General features: G+C 38.7%; 1 protein-coding gene across 1 annotated transcript in view, besides 1 other annotated feature; it reads left to right on the forward strand.

The window, feature by feature from the left end:
* Positions 3,269 to 3,628: a silencer, noted in NCBI's record as "silent region_12169". NCBI's record gives its function as "represses an Ori minimal core promoter by ATAC-STARR-seq in GM12878 lymphoblastoid cells {active_cell/tissue: GM12878}" and the evidence as "EXISTENCE:reporter gene assay evidence [ECO:0000049][PMID:35858748]".
* Positions 3,465 to 17,766, forward strand: part of FAM171B (family with sequence similarity 171 member B) — a 71,900-nt gene continuing 57,598 nt past the window's right edge. Inside the window, exon 1 of the mRNA NM_177454.4 lies at positions 3,465 to 3,816. Within this exon, the coding sequence (NP_803237.3) occupies positions 3,579 to 3,816 (238 nt within the window). The 5' untranslated portion in view covers positions 3,465 to 3,578. The remainder of the gene's footprint in view (positions 3,817 to 17,766) is intronic.

Genomic DNA, 17,766 nt, shown 5'->3' on the forward strand with positions numbered 1-17,766 from the left:
GGTCAGGAGTTCAAGACCAGTCTGGCCAACATGGCGAAACCCTGTCTCTACTAAAAATACAAAAATTAGCCAGGCGTGGTGGCATGCACCAGTAATCCCAGCTACTCAGGAGGCTGAGGCAGGAGAATCGCTTGAACCCAGGAGGTGGAGGTTGCAGTGAGCCAAGATTTTTCCATTGCACTCTAGCCTGGAAGACAAGAGCGAGACTCTGTTTCAAAAAATAAAATAAAATAAAATATAAGTTTAATACTAAGTATATGAGAAAATTCTACAAGCTTGGGAAAAAAATTGAACATAGAATGACTTGGCACTCTAATTGTGTGGCAAGGGTCTTTGAGAACTTCCACTTAAACTAAACCTGCAAATCATAGTGGTATATCATAACTGTGGTTTATGACTTCAAACTCTAGGATGTGGTTGAAATTCTTGGCCCTACATCAAAAGATTTGTGAACAAATATATATTTATTTATTCTAGGGTAAAATATGTGGCTTAAGATATATTTAGGATGTATTGACTTTGGTCTTTTGATGAACTTTTTTCATTTGCCAAGTACTATCCCCAATTGAATCGGATAATATGGCTTTTTTATATTGCACAGAAATTAAGCATGAACTACACGAATAATGAAGCACTTAAAAACTATTTAAATACTCTTGATTGACAACACTTACCTCTTAAAACAGTCCATAGTATTGAAAGATTTGAGGTCCACCCTCTACCAGGGTCCATGACCCAGTGGCTTTGCCTCCAGAAGGTCTGCTTCTACTATATTAAAAATAACTTGGCTACCCCAAGGCAGGATGACAGAAATCCTGGCTGCATTCCTTTCCTTCTGATCCACCAGTCAGGTTTTTGGAGCCATTTCCATTTTCTCCTTTCTTCTCTCCAGGAGCAGAGGTAACTTGGAAGAGATTGCCATAAAAACAGCTTGATGAAACTAATGGAAACTTGCTGCCTTCAGCTCTGGAGCCCCCTCCCCCAATGGCTCCTGCCTCACACAGACCAGGGAAAGAAAGTCCTGATGGAAGAATGATGTTTAGTGTGAGGGGCCTCACTTTAGTATCTATTTTCCCCAAAATTATGTGGTCCACATACCTTATTTTTGTTTTAAAATCACTAAAAAAGCAATACAAACTCATAGCAGAAGTCTCAAACGGTGCAGAAAGGTAAAGTCACACACTGTAAATGTAGCCTCTGGCAAGACATGGAGCCTCTCTGATCTCCAGTGTTTCCATTTGCTAAATAGGATAATGAGAGCTAATTTGTAGAGATGCTCTGAAGATATAATGAGATAATAGATGCAAAATACCTACTGTTATTTTATTTATGGTTATTGTGTCAGTCCATTTGCATTGCAGTAAACTTCGGGTGACATAAAGAAAAGCGGTTTACTTTAGGTCAGTTCTGCTGGCTGTACAACGCAAGTGTGGTGCTGGCATCTGCTCTGGTGAGACCTTAGAAAGCTTACAATCATGGTGGATGGTGAAAGGGAGACAGCGTGTCACATGACAGGAGAGGGAGCAAGCGAGAGAGAGAAGGGAGTTGCCACACTTTTAAACAACCAGATCTCTTGTGAGCTCAGAGCAAGAATTCAGTCATTACCATGAAGAGGGCACCAAGCCATTCATGAGGGATTCTCCTCTATGAACCAAAGACCTTCCACTAGGCCCCACCTCCAACATTGGAGGTCACATTTCAATATGAGATTTGGAAAGGACAAAACATCTAAACCATTAGTTATATATACACTATTTTCATTTGCTTAACCAAAAAATACTTTTCCAGTACTGAGAAGTTTGTTGTTTTCCAGCATATTGAAAACACTGGGAGGGACAAGGTAAGAATGATAAGGGTGGAAAAGGACAATGAACTACAATGGTAAATGGGGTGATGTCACAGCAGGTGACATTTATATTGCACTATGAGATGTCCCACAGTTACTCCAAATACAAAGAGACCACAACTGAACAAGGCAGGGCTCATTACTCTAGGCCAGTTAATGTTGATAAGGTCATAAGCAGCCACCTAAGATCTCAATTTGTCAATTTAGGTGTCACACTAGGCATATCTCCTCCTCTTCCAATTAACCGTATCTGTTTATTGTAGTCTTATATACTGTGTCTCCTACTCTTTTCTTCTCCTTTTCAGTTTCAATGACCTTTGGCATCTCCTATGGGTTTTGGCAAACACCTCTAAACTGGCATCTTCTCTTCCAATTTATCCCCCTTTAATCCATCTGCCATACTGAGAGCAAAGTGATCCTCCTAAAATGCACAACTGGTAGCAAGTTTCTTCCCTGATTAATTTCTTTCATTATCATCTACTGTGTGAATTTCAATTTCTGTATACAGCATCTAAGTTTATTACAGAAGTTAACAAATGTGAAGTACTTGAGCACACAGTAAGTACTATAGAAATGCTTGTTATTATTATTTTTTTAATGACCTGGTCTCCACTCTCCTTTTCAATCTAAAACACTGTCATTCCTCCATTAGAATAATTGCTCACACTTTTGCAAGCCCACTGTGCTTACACACATCTGGGCTTCACACACACACACACACACACACACACACACACACACACACTCTTCCACGTTCCTGATTTCTCCTGTGTGGAAGTCTTACTCTTTTTTATATTCTACCTCTCCTGGTGTTTCATAGCCCCTACATACACAAGATATTTTCTTCCAATTCTGAGACCTCTGGACTTGTATTGCTTTTCTGTTTGTAGCCACCACATTGGGTTCTAATTTGTTCCTGTGTTCCTCTCCCCTAATAGATGTTGAGCTCCTGGAATGCAGGGATTGTATTTTACTTATTCCAAGCACCTGAAGAAATGCTGGCACATGGTAAGCAACTAGTATTTAGTAAGATTTTTTTGAACAAATGAAAAGGATAGGCTAGAATTAGATAAAATGTAATTAAGAATATTTAATGATATGGAAAGAAATTCCCACTAGGGCAGAGAAAAGAAGTTTAGTCAAAATCTGGCGCGCTGCAGTTTAACTTCTAGCTAAGCAATGATGGCGGTGATGCAGCAAAGCCTATTTGTTTGAGATCCTGGCTTTTTGATCCGTTGGTGCCACCCACGCTATGTGCTGGATGGGGGTAATCAATATACCACCTTCTCTGCTACTTTGGGCTCAGGTGGAAGGAATTTTATTCCACTCTCTGCAAATCTTCCCGGTGCCTCAGTGGGAAGTGGACGCTGTGAGGGTCTACCAGCTCCCAGAAGGCCTCCCCTTTCTGTTTCCCCTAGGGCCCTCCACCCGGGCTGCAGCCCCAGCATCGCGTCCTCTCGGAGCAGCCTGGCCCCAGGTGGCTGCGGGGCGCGGGACCGCGGGCCCCGGCTCGCCCCTCCCCGCGCGTCACATGCGCGAGGATGCGAACTCCCCTTCCCTCCTCCTCCGCCCCCTCCGCCTCCCGGGCCTCTTCCTCCTGCCGGTGAGGGAGTGCTTGGCAGATTGCGCGAGGGGGAGCGAGCGAGCGGGCGCTGCCAGGAGCCCGCAGCCCTGGCGCCCGCCGCCGCCCGGAGCCCCGCAATATGCCGCCGCGGCCCTCTGGCTCTAGGCCATGGCGAGGCTCTGCCGGCGTGTCCCCTGCACCCTGCTTCTCGGCCTGGCCGTGGTGCTGCTGAAAGCGCGGCTGGTCCCCGCGGCCGCCAGAGCGGAACTCAGCCGCTCCGACCTCAGCCTCATCCAACAGCAGCAGCAGCAGCAGCAACAACAACAACAACAGCAAAAGCAGCTGGAGGAGGCTGAGGAGGAGAGGACAGAGGTGCCTGGGGCAACCTCCACCTTGACGGTTCCAGGTAGGTCCTGGCTGCCCAGCCCGGTCTTTCAGTCTCGGCCGGCGATCTCTTAGGGCCTCGCCGGCTTCCTCGCCCCTTCCCTATCCATTCCTATCCTCGTTCGTTCCTGTCACCATCCCTCCCGATCTCTCTCCCCAGACTGGCTGCCCAGCCTTTGGTCCCTTGATCTGGTGTCGGGAATCTGCCCTCCGGGTAATGAGCTTTCTGAGCAGCTCAGAGCACTGCGGTGGGTTGGAGAGGGGTCGGGAAGGCTGGGGGTGGGTGACTGCCTGGATTGATCTTTTTCTTTTCCCTCCCTTCTTCCTGAATTCTACCCTCTGCCCTGGGAATGACTGTAACACACACACACACACACACACACACACACACACACACACACACACCGTTCTTAAATCCCTTAAACATTTTGTTCTCTATCCTTTTCTCTCCTAGAGACTGAGAAATCTTGCCATGGACACCCACACACCCCTTTTCACCATTTCTCCATGCCTGCTATATTTAAATTTAGCCATGAAGAGAGAAATCTTTATATATTTTATTATTTATTTCTCTTTCTCTTTACCCCAGGAAGGGTTTAAGGGTTCATCTTATTGCAAAGAACTCTTTTAGTACAATAAGATGAAGCAAAACAAAACAGGAGTTTGTAATTGAAGGAAAGGGAAAAGGAGAGGGGGACACATAAGGTGAAGTCTGGAGTGGTGTTAGAACAGCAAAAGCCTATCCCTAGAGAGAGAAATCTCCTTACTTGTTAGTAGAACTTAAATGAGGCAGATTCTTGACACTGTTCAGTGAAGGTGTAGAAATACGGCTGTAGTATAGGTGGCTGTAACAGTTCCGCAGTTCCTCCCTCTTTCCCCCCATTAAAGCTCCATCGGTAAGCAAATAGCTAGATTATCCATGTATATTGCATCTCCCTACCCCGCAACCCACTTCGCTTCATGGCTGTAGATTCTTGTCTGCTATTTGGAAAGAAAAAAAGCCTCCAATTTTCTGGCACGAGGGCTTAGGTTTTGTGAAACCAAAGTGAATTTTATTATGACGTTTGTTTTTGTTTTAAAATCCTGCCTGGTAACACTATATGAGTGCTGAAAATGAGATTTGAAAGAGTGGAATCAGCATCACATTTTGTATTGCTTGCTCATCGTCAAAAAGCAGTACACAGGCATGCCAGCTGCGATTCATGACACAGCCAGGATGATTTAATTTATCAGAGTGCTCTGAGCATAGGATGAAATCACCAAAGTGTGCAGGAAAGCATGTGTTTCTGACACCCTCTTAAACCAATTAATAACACTCAAGTGTGGCTAAAAGTCTTGAAAGGTATACAGTGTATGGTGGTTTTCCTACCCAGCTTTTAATAACTGAAAGTGATAATATGGTTTGGGTGAGGCTGCTGTTAGACATACTGTTCGCTAAAGTTAAGGAAATTGGATATATCAGATTGATTGGCCTCATTAATAGAGATATTTCATAAATTCACTATGAAGCCGAAGTCTGGGAGAGTGTTGGTGGGTTTTATGGTTTGCAGTATATTTTTATTTCAATGGACCTTTCAGGAATATTAAATGAATTTTGACTACTGTAATATATATATATATGTTGTGATTAGGGTTATGAACTACTGCAATAATATGAAACCTGAATCCAGCATGCAAATTAAAATGTTTGCTTTCTGATATTTGTGAGGGAATATTCTGAAAAAGCTGATTGTCTGGGAAATTAGCAGTTTTTGTTTTATTTACCTATTAGATTGAGATAAAGGAACCACACTCTTCGATAGATCAAACTAGAACCTGAGAAGTAACCTATGATGATTCTTCTTCCTCAAAAACTCTAATTACCCAAGCCAGTGGCAAACAAGGGAGTAATTCAATTGATTGCTGTTTTAGTTATTGGAATATTGAGTCTTATAATGCAACACAGCTTATAGACAAATGAAGTTAAAATATTCCTTTGAATGCATTGTGATCTCTCCATTGAACTGGTCTTCCTGTTTCAACCTTTGTTTCCCTACTGTCTGTTCTCCTCACACAGCTAGCGATCTTTAAAAAAAAAAAAAACATTAAATAGGATCATTTCTGCCCACACTCCTCCAATGGCTTCCCGTCTCTCTCATACTAGATGCCCAGATCGTGAAAATGGCCTACCAAGGTCTAGATCCTTTGTATCCTCCTTTTCCTCCCGTCTCCTTTAGCCCTTACCCTAACTCTCTCCACTGTAGCCACACTAGCTCTATTTTCTTTAGCTTGCAAGTGGACCCAAGTGTTTGGCCTTTGCACTTGCCATTTTCTCTGCCTGGAATTCTGGAACTTCACATTTTTCAGGTTTGCTCAAGTGTCTCAGTAACTGACAGACCTTTTCCTGACCAGGTGTTTAAAATAGTAATCTGCACATCCTTTTTGCTCTTACCCAGATTCATTCTCCTCCATGGTACTCATTATTCTCAGCTGTTCTAATAAGCCTGTTTTTCCCTTGATAGAACATAAGCTCTGTGAAAACATGGACTTTGTTTTGTTCACTGCTATATTTCTAGTATCTCGAAGAGCACCTGGTTGGTACCCATAGACATTCAACCATTTGTTGAATGGATGGACGGATGGATGGATGGATGGATGGATGGATGGATGGATGAATGAATGAATGAATTCACTTTCTCAGCATTTGTTCGTCTTCATTGGATAAATTCTCCATTGGAGTTTAGCAGGGGATTTATAAAGATAAACGTTATGTAGGAAAGTTTGTAAGTAGAAGTTATAAAGTATGTAAATTTTGGATCTTTAATTTTAGTTAATTTCAGTGTTTATCTTATGCTGACTACAGAAAACTGATTGATACCTATACTTGGGCCTACTTATTGGGTTTTGTGAAGAATTTGGGGTTTTTTTTGAGACAGGGTTGAGTGCAGTGGCGTGATCATGGCTCAAGTCAGTCTCAACCTCCTGGGCACAGCCTCCTGAATAGCTGAACTACAGATGCGTGCCGCTGGGCCCAGCTAATTTTTAATTTTTTTCTTTTTGTAGAGATAGGGTCCTGCTTTGTTGCTCAGGCTAGCCTCAAACTCTGGAACTCTGGGCTCAAGCAATCCTCCCATCTCAGCCTCCCAAAATGTTGGTTTACAAGCATGAACCATAATTCTTTACCTGAGTATACTTAATCTTCTTATGACCTAGGAGGATTTTAACATATATACCTTTAAATAGCTGTGATTGAGCTTGCATTCATTCTTTACCGCTGTATGATGCTTCTGATTCTTTGGACATGCCACATGAAAAACTGTAGGACTTTTCTCAGGCAAAATTTAGAAAACAAATATGACACATTCAATGACTGATATATGACTAAGCCTTATCAGTCCATAGTAGAGAAACTCACCATTGCCTTTGCTTAGTATTCTCTGGATTTTATTATTCTAAAAATTTATGTCTCTTTGTATTGCTGAGAAACAAGAAAGCAAGATTAAAAAAAAACTTGAATGTGAACATTTTTTAAAAATCAGGATTTAAAAAAGTACATTTCCATTTTCTCATTAACTTATAAAAACTCCATCTTCAGAGAGCAGTGAAAATAAAGACTAAGGTTGGTATCCATCAAATCAATTGTTTTCTCCAGTGTATACAACAGCTCTTATTTCTCCATCTGTACCAGTATTTGTTAGAAATATTTGAGGGTCCTGAGAAGAATTAATCTGGGAGCTAGTGGTAGTTGGGACAACCATATTATATTAATTCTGATGGCCCATTAGATGGGAGGCATGCTGGGGTTGGGGGAGAGAGGAGCTGGAGAAAAATAATGAGCTCCATTTAAAATTCTCCATGTGAAGCAGAGACACAGGGGATCTCCAGGGATCATAGAAATGTCTTTTCAGTACAGAGAAAGCTTCTTGAGAGGTATATTTTCATGGTGTGAAAATTTTTGATTGCATATTTCAGTGATATCTATTTTTAAACTTTTTATTTCGCAAGATGTTAAATATATAGAAAGTAAACAGGATAGTGTAATAAAAGCCTATACCTGTCACCTAGCTTTAACAATGGTCAAAATTCTGCCATTGTTTTTTCACCCATACTTCTACCTGTTTCCACTACGTGGGATTTGTTTTTAATTTTTAATTTTTATGGGAACACAGTAGGTGTATATATTTATGGGCTACATGAGATATTTTGATACAGGCATAAAATGTATAATTATCACATCAGGGTAAACATTTATCATTTGTGTTACAAACATTCCAGTTATACTTTCAGTTATGTTAAAATGTACAATAAGTTATTGTTTACTATATTTACCCTGTTGTGCTATCAAGTAGTAGATCTTATTCGTTCTACCTGACTATATTTTTATACTCATTGACCATCCCCACTTCTTCCCCACTCCCAATACCCTTCCCAGACTCTGGTAACCATCATTCTAATCTCTATCTCCGTGAGTTTAATGGTTTTACATTTTAGTTCCCACAAATGAGTGAGAATATGCAAAGTTTGTCTGTGCCTGGCTTATTTTACTTAATGTCCTCCTGTTCCATTCATGTTGTTGCAAATGAGAGGATCTGATCCTTGTTAATGGTTGAATAGTACTCCATTGTGTATATGTATCACATTTGCTTTATCCACTATCTGTTAATGGACACTTAGGTTGCTTCCAAATATTGGCGATTGTGAATAGTGCTGCAATAAACATGGCAGTACAGATATCCCTTCAATATACTGATTTACTTTCTTTTGGGTATATACCTAACAGCTGTATTGCTGGATCATATGGTACCTCTATTTTTAGTTTTTTGAGGAACCTCCTACTGTTCTCCATAGTGGTTGTACTAATTTACATTCCCACCAGTGGTGTACAAGGGTTTCTTTTTCTCCACATCCTCATCAGCATTTCTTATTGCCTGTCTTTGGATAAAAGCCATTTTAACTGGGATGAGATGAGATCTCATTGTAGTTTTGATTTGCATTTCTCTGATGATCAGTGATGTTGAGACCTTTTCATATACCTGTTTGCCATTTGTGTGTTTTCTTTTGAGAAATATCTATGCAGATCTTTTGCCTACTTTTAAATAGGATTATTGGGTTTTTTTGCCTATTGAATTGTTTGAGTTCCTTATATATTCTGGTTATTAATCCCTTGTCAGATGGATAGTTGGCAGATACTTTCTCCCATTCTATGGGTTATCTCTTCACTTTGTTGATTGTTTCCTTTGCTCTGCAGATGCTTTTGATGTGATCCCATTTAACCATTTTTGCTTTGGTTGCCTGTGCTTGTAGGGTATTACTCAATAAATCTTTGTGCAGACCAATGTCCTGGAAAATTTCCCCAGTGTTTTTTTGTGGTAGTTTCATAGTTTGAGGTCTTAGATTTAAATCTTTAATCCATTTTGATTTGATTTTTGTATATGGTGAGGGATAGGGGTCTAGTTTTATTCTTCTGCATAAGGATATCCAGTTTTCCCAGCACTATTTATTGAATAGACTGTCCTTCCCCTAATGTATGTTCTTGGCAACTTGGTTGAAAATGAGTTCACTGTAGATGAATAGATTTATTTTTGGGTTCTCTATTCTGTTCCATTGGTCTCTTTGTCTGTTTTTATGCCAGTTACAATGCTGTTTTGGTTACTATGGCTCTGCAGTATAATGTCAAGTCAGGTAATTTGATTTCTCCAATTTTGTTGTTTTTTTTTTAGCTCAGGGTGGCTTTGGCTATTTGGAGCCTTTTGTGGTTCCATGTAAATTTTAGGTTATTTTTTTCTATTTCTGTGAAGTATGCCATTGGTATTTTGATAGAGATTCCATTGAATCTGTAAACTGCTTCGGGTAGTATGGACTGAGTTTTGTTTTTTTTTTCTTAATAGGTCCTTTTAGAGGTAAAATGTACATATGTGAAATGTACATATTTTAGTGTACACTCTTGACAAAAAGATATACCCATATAAACATCACCCTATTGAGATATAGATGTTTATATCACCTTAGAAAGTTTCTTCATAGCCCCTTCCCAGGCAATTCCTGTCCCTCACCTGGAGACATCTGATGTGTTGATTTCATTTTCATCATAGATTAATTTTGCATTTTATAGAACTTCACAAAATGGAATCCATGGCGTGTGTCCAGCTTCTTCAGCTTAGTATAATTTCCACAGATTTTATTCATTTTGTAGCACATTTAGTAGTTTATTCCTTTTTATTGCTGAATAAATTGTATGAATTACCACAGATCAGTTTATTGATTCTTCTGTTGAGGGGTATTTGGGTTGTTTCCAGTTTTAGCTATTCTGAATGAAGCTGCTATATTCTTATACAAATCTTTGTGTGAATATGTTTTCATATCTGTTGGATAAATGCCTAGGAGTGGAATTGCTTGGCCAACTGATACACTTTTGCGGTGAAAAATGTTTTTGTTCCCCAATATTCTATGTAGCAGGAACTTACCTCTCTTAAGATGATTACTTTAAAAATAATGAAATTTAATGTGTAGTATTACTGTATACTTTTTCTTAAAATAATTTAAACTTCTCTTTAACTTTTTTTTTTCATACGGACTCTTGCTCTGTTGCCCAGACTGGAGTGTAGTGGCACAATCTCAGCACTCTGCAACCTCTGCGTCCCAGGCTCAAGTGATTCTCCTGCCTTAATCTCCTAAGTAGCTGGGATTACAAGTGCCTGCCACCATGCCTGGCTAAGTTTTGTATTTTTTTTTAGTAGAGACGGGGTTTCACCATGTTGACCAAGCTGTTCTCAAACTCCTGACCTCAGGTGATCTGCCCACCTCAGCCTCCCAAAATGCTAGGATTACAGATGTGAGCTACTGCACCTGGCTAACTTTATTTTTAAATTGTACATATTATATTATAACAACATGATATTTTAATAGGCTTATACATAGTGAAATAGTTAACTATAGTCAAACAAATTAACATATCCATCCTCTTATGTAGTTACCTTTTTTGGTGTGGTAACAACACCAAAACCTACTCTCACCAAATTTCCAGTATACAGTACAATATTCTAACTATAGTCCTCATGCTGTACCTTAGGTCTTTAGACTTACTCATCTTACATATCTGCTACTTTGTACTTTTTGTCCTACATCTCACCATTTTCTCTTGCCCTTTGTAGCCACTTAAATCTCCCATCCATGAAAGCACTTATTTACTTACTTTTTTCTGTTCAAGGAATTTGAAAAATCAATAGGAAAAGTGGGATTTGAAATTAACCAAGTAATCATGCCTCAAAGGCCATATTCCCAGATGGGGTAATTATGATTTCTTTCCAGGATTTTAATAACCAAAAGGAGTTATTTCTTGGTATTGATAACAGGTTGAAAAACATATGCCATTGTGTTGAATTTGAGTCCAGTTTGTTTTAGTAGCAGTTTTATAGTGTTCTTAATGTGAGTAAGTAGAAACTGTACCAATTATTTTTCTGAAACAAAGCTCTTCCCCCAAGTATATAAATATTGAACTTGATTCTCTTTCAATGTTCTGTCTGACTAGGTTAGCTCTGGTATTGTTGTCATTCATTTACTTGGCTTAGTGTAATGTTTCTTAATTTCCTTTTGTCCAAGTTGCCTTAGCTAGGAAATGGATACACTATTTTGTATGTGCTATTGGTAAAGTTTGCTTTGAAATACTTACCTGGAAGAGTCTAAAACCATGAAAGCTATGTGTGGTCATGAAATGCAGTCCTGCATTATTGAACAACAAGGACATTTTCTGAGAAATGCGTCATTAGGTGATTTTGTCATTCTGTGAACATCATAGAGTGTACTTACACAAGCCTAAATGGTACAGCTGACTACACGCCTATTCTGTATAGCATAGCCTATCACTCCTAGGCAACAAATCTGTACAGCATGTGACTATACTGAATACTGTAGGCACTTGTAACACAATTTTAAGTACTTGTGTATCTAAACATAGAAAAGGCAAAGTAAAAATGGTATTATACTCTTATGAGACCACCATTGTCATATATGTGGTCTGTTGACCAAAACATTAATTGCTATATAACTGTGTGAGCGTAAGAAAACAGCTCTGTTTGCTTTGAAGATTCTGTTTGGAGATGCCTCTTTAATTGGCGTTTTGCATCAGCACAATTCACATGTCCAAGACATATCAGATTCTGTGCCATTTAATTTTTTTTCTTTTATGATTGTTCGTGTCACAATGACTAGGCTGTATTTTTACATACTTGTTAATAATGTCTGTGAATATAAGGCCAGTTTATTTGGGCCTAAAATGAGTGAGTGATTCAGAGTGCCATTTCAGGTAGGGCAGCGAGTGTCAGGGAAATGGTAATCACTTTCCATCATTATTAATGTGTCAAATATGCCTCAGGGACCTAGTGAACCAGAACTGTAACATGCCTCAGTAATGTATTACTCTTCAAACCTTGAGTTAATAATGCCAAAGTTCTCCATATTAAGGTTCTATATCTTACACCAAAAGTAAGATTTAAAATTAATTTCATTTATATGTGACATTTCAACTTCTATTTAATATGCTTTTTCTTCCTCAAGCAGATTTCTATATCATCATAATTTAGGGAATAATTTAAAATTTAAGTAAATATTTCATTTGCCAGTATAATCACTTCTTGTTCAGTTTTGTTCCTGTTCAGTAAAGAAATATCATTTATAAATTATATAATATGTGTGTGTGTATATATATATATACACACACACACACACACACACACAAAAGATCTCACTCTGTCCCCCAGGCTGGAGTGCAGTGGTGCAGTCTCAGCTCACTGCAACCTCTGCCTCCTGGGTTCAAGCGATTCTCATGCCTCAGCCTCCCAAGTAGCTGGGATTACAGGCGTGAGCCACTGTGCCTGGACAAATTATGTATTTTTAATTCACTTGTTAGCTCTGCTGAGATGTAGAACGTTTACTTGGCTGAACCAACAGCAATTCGTATGTGTGGATCCAAATGCTAGCTGGGCTTTATGTGAGCAGTTGACCAGTCAACCAGTAGAAATGTTCACTTTCAACTCATAGCTCATGCTGTGAGGACCCTGAGCTCCGAACACATTATAAAATTCCATATCCTTTGTCCTTTCTGAAATAAAATAAAACCAGTGTTCATGCTTTTATTCCCACTGACCGATTCCTCTGCTTTTTAATAATAGGAACATGACACAAACAGAAACAGGATGGGTAGGTAGGTGATTTGTTTTTCCTAATGGATTAGCTATAACCAGGAGTTAGCGACAGCAGATGTCCTGGAGTTTGTGACCCATTCCACTCTTGCCTCCTTTCCTGTGTTTTGGGAAAGGGTAAAAATTAAGATGTCAAATTATGGCTCAGTATAATTAAATGAATTATGTTTCTTTAAAACTTGAAACATGCTGCTAATGTTCTTTGACATTTGCATGAGTAGGGTTTTTTTTTTAATAAATGTCTGGGTGACTGAAACAAGATTACCAGAAAAATATCCATTTACTGTAAGAATGAAATAGATGAAGAACATGCTTTTGTGTAAGGGGAAAAAATATCACCAAAATAATGGGCATAGTAGAATTTATTTAACTATTTAAGTAAAACGAACCATTCATGGAGCAATGATAAGGGTGTGTCATGCAAGGGATTATGGTTAATTCGGTTTGTATACCTGAAGTTAAAAAACCCATTTACTTATTTATATTTAAATGAACTGGTACTTTCAAAGTATTTGTATTTAAAGACAAATAACTTCTCTTCATAAAATAAGTACTTCCTGAAGTATATTTTTCAATATATTTGTGCTGTTTGATTCTGGAGGTTTAGCAGAAAACCTATGACTTAATACTTCTAAAAATTTCACTTTCTTTATATTAATCAGATTTTGACTATAAACATTATTTTTATAGTATTGTATGAAACAACTAATCTGATCTAATGCTATTTACAATAAAGCAATGCCTAATGTTGATTAAAATATGTAATAATTTTTTTAAAAAAACAGAAGTATTCCCTTCCCGGGTTATACTAATATCTATGCTTTATAATAAACTTTCTTGGAATCATAGGCTCTTAGAACTAGAAGGAGGTAAAAATGACCTTCTCTTATGTTCTTTGCACTGGCAGTGTTTGAAAAGTGTAAGACACGAGCTAGAAACTCTTAAAAGACATTCTTTTAAGGTAGACACCCTTAAAAGAAATTTTTCATTTTTCATTCCAGTGTGGTAACACTGGAAATTACAAAGTCTCATAAAACTGTTAGTTAAAGATAATTTGCTGATTTCCTTCATAGCAAGTTTGATAAGGGTTGAGCTTGTTCATAATCTAAAACTTTCACTACCAACTGCTTCAAGTTTGTGAATCAGAGGAGTCAAAAGAATGTGTATTTTAAAATTGCTTCTGTACCATAGTATAATATTTCAAATAGGAGAGAAGTCTATGCATCGATAAAGCTTGGCAAATGTAGGATGTAAAGATGTTGGAAGTGAAGATTTGGAGGCTCAAGAGAAGAGAGAGGGAGTCAGGTAAGTCAACAGTCTGTGGAGGAGGAAGGACCTCCCAAGTAGTGAATCTTTTTGCCCCCATGTATATGTAAGGGACTCTCATTCCTTTATACTTTATTGATGCAGAACAGGCGAGCCCCAAAGTGGGGCTTAGCCTGTGAAGGTTCTTGGCTTCGCCCAGGAAGGAATTCAATGGTGAGTCAGTGGTAGAGTAGAAGACAGCAGCTTGATTAAACCATCAGTGTTACAGCTCCTATGGTGTTATAACTTCGTGACTGCTCCTGCAGCACAGGGCTACCCCATAGGCAGAGAGTAGCAGCTCTGGGCAGTTTTGCAGTCATATTTATACTTACTTTTAACTACATATACATTAAAGGATGGTTTATGCAGATATTTCTAGGGAAGAGGTAGTAGCTTTTGGGTTGTTGGGTCTTTGCCATGGAAAGGGGTGGTAACTCCAGGCTGTTGCCATGGCACACTGGTGGACATGTCTTATGGAAAGCTGCTTCTGCCCTGTCCCTGTTTTAGCTAGTCCTCTGTTTGGTCTGTTGTCTGAGTCCTGCCTCCTACCTCATGGCAACGCAGAGGTTCAAGGGAGCCAATAGAAGGGTGTAGGGGGTTCCTGGGAACCCTGAAACTAATTAGACAATCTGCAATTATCTAACGTTCAATGTGCTTTGAGATTTTCAAAGGCATCTCTGACCCCTGAAAGGGGTCAGAAAACCTACCATGGTTAATTAAGCCTTTGTAAGTGGACTCAGTAAGAGAACAAAGATAACATTCAGACTCAAATAACATTTAGACTCAAAAAACATTGTGTTTTCTTAACCTGTGAAGGTTTTTTGTTGTTGTTATTGTGCAGATATGATGGGTAAAATTAGCAAGCATGACAGCCATATAACCAATCCAACCAGAAGGCTCTAAACCCTTAAAAGATGTGATTGCTTAGAACGCATGTATCTCCGTCACTTCTTTCAGCATTAGTTTCTCCATTCTGTTGGTGGAATGGTTGCCAATATGTAATAAATATCTTCTGATAAATCGCATGACTTGAAATTGATTCATATCTAGGTTTTGTTATGTAATAAACGGGTGGGATACCTTATACCTGAAAAAACCCTTTGTTCAGAATTCATTGGCAGTCAATCCAGAAACTCTCTGCATTTTGGCTCATGGCTGTTCCACTGAAAGATAGTCACTGAGATTGAGTTAATCTTAATATGGGCTCTGATGATTTTCCAGTCATCTAATCCCTCCAGGCCTGATTATAAACCTCAATCAGTTTTAGCAGATGAGGGCTTACTCTGGTTGTTAGTAATTCCCAAAGAAGGCATTTATAAAAACCTAAACCTTTTCCTCTCTCCTGAGATAAGTATTAATCTTTGGTCTCTAAGCTGTTTTGGGGTCAAAATAGTAATTTCAGTCTACAGTGATTTAAATCTGTAATTTAACTTGCTATTTTTATCACCAATGCTGTTCCAGGCTTTTGGAATTAATATCATCTCTAAACTCAGTGAAACCCATATTTTTCTTTTTTTGATTCACACTTCTCATGATATCATTAATAACTGATTACACTGGAAATGCAAGAGACTATGAAGAGTGAATGGCAGGGAGAATTTCTGTACTTTGAGCACTAGCTCTATCTTAACAGAATTTATCTTTCACTTGGAAATCCAAAAGGAGAAATTTGTATCTCGGCACATTCTGGTGTTCCAAAGATAAATAATAGCATGTGTTGAGTTTGGAAAGCTGCAGCTTTAGAGAACAAGCTAGGGCATAGAAATAAAGGTGAAAAAGATATAGACACCCCTGACAAATCCCAGTCCTGTTGTGGTGATTGTGCTTTCTGTTTATAAGGAGTGGCTTAAAGATCAGGATGCTATGCAGCGACTGTACATGTTCCTATCATGGCTCTAACAACCTTGGCCCAATTTACTCCCCTTTCTTCTTTATCAATACTCCTTATCAATAGTACAGTAGAAAGTCTATAACTCAAATAATTTGTTCTCTAATAATTACATTATATTGAAAATTATATATTAATATTATAATCATAACATTTGAAACTAATATACAGATCATTAAAATATCCTTACATTCTAAAACATGAAAGTGGAAACAAAATTTATTTTTCTGTTTAACATTCTGTGACTGTCTTCTCAGCCTCCTCTCCCCGAGGTGGTCATATCCACTCCAGTTGCTTTAAATATCATCTATATTCTAAGACTCCCCAGAGCTCACTTCTGAATATATCTACCAATTATTTTGATATCTTTATGTGGATATATCACAGGTATCACAGTTTAATAATAAAACTAGACTTTTGATTTCCTAGCATGCCAGCCAAAATAAATATTTCCTTCCTAATTGTTACTAAAAACCAATAAAGTGCTCCAGCAGCCAGTGAGTGAGTGTAGTTGATGCTGTGCTTGCTACTAGCTCTACACTCCTCTTCATCTATCAGCAAACTCCGTTTAGGAGTCTACTTTCTAAATATATTCCTCATCTGTTAATTTTTCCCCATCTTTACTGCCTCTGCTCTGGCTCAGGTTACTCTTAGCACTAGCTCATATTAGCACATCAACCGGCCTCCTTATGTCCATTCTTGATGCTCTGAAATCCAAATTTCCTATTGAAGCCTTGGGGATCGTTCCCAACCCTGCCCTTCTATGCTGATTACTATGCTGATTATTTTTAAGTACACATTAGTTACATTGAGAACCAAGTCAAAAATCGTAATGTGACCTGTAAGGCTTTGCATGATTCATTACTGCAGTCTCAACTCCAGCTTCTTTCCTACTTCATCATTGCTTCAGTTCTCTGTACCTCGGGAGTGACAGGTTTTGTGCCTCAGTGCCTTAACACAGGTTGCTTCTCTGTTTTTAACACTACCCACATCCAACACAGGCAGTGCCCATCCTCCACCCCAATCACCTGGATAATTACATTCAAACTTCAGATATTAGCTTAAATACCACTTTTTTTTTTTAAAAAAAAAAAAAGGTTTTTCATTGACTTTCCTGTCTGAGCTAGGTTCCTCTGTTATGCACTCTCAGAGGCATCTCCTACTTGTGAAAGGTCTGTAATTAATTGGTGGCTAGGCATCTGTTCCATATTTCCATATTTATCTTTTCCTTTAGTTTGGAAGCCAGATCAGGCCAGGTACAATAATTGCTTTGCTTGGGGCTATATCCCTGTATAAATATTTATTGAATGAATAAATGAAGGTCTCGGTATAGATAATTATTTGGGTAATTGAATATGTTCTTTCATTCACATGCTTGAGCTGGCTTCTCCAGAGTATATAACAAAAGGATCTTATGTAGGGAAAAGGCTGTAGGACCTTGGGACTGAAGTGGTCAAAGTATACAGGTTTTGGATGAAGAGCAATACCTGCTTCGAAAAGCAAAATTTGGCATTTATGCAAATTTAACACATCATATGCCAGTTTATCCATAGGGTTGGTGAGAATATACAAGATTCCTACAAGACTGATTTCACTATTTTTT

This window comes from Homo sapiens, chromosome 2, assembly GCF_000001405.40.
Source record: "Homo sapiens chromosome 2, GRCh38.p14 Primary Assembly".
In the NCBI taxonomy this organism is placed as follows: Eukaryota; Metazoa; Chordata; class Mammalia; order Primates; family Hominidae; genus Homo; species Homo sapiens.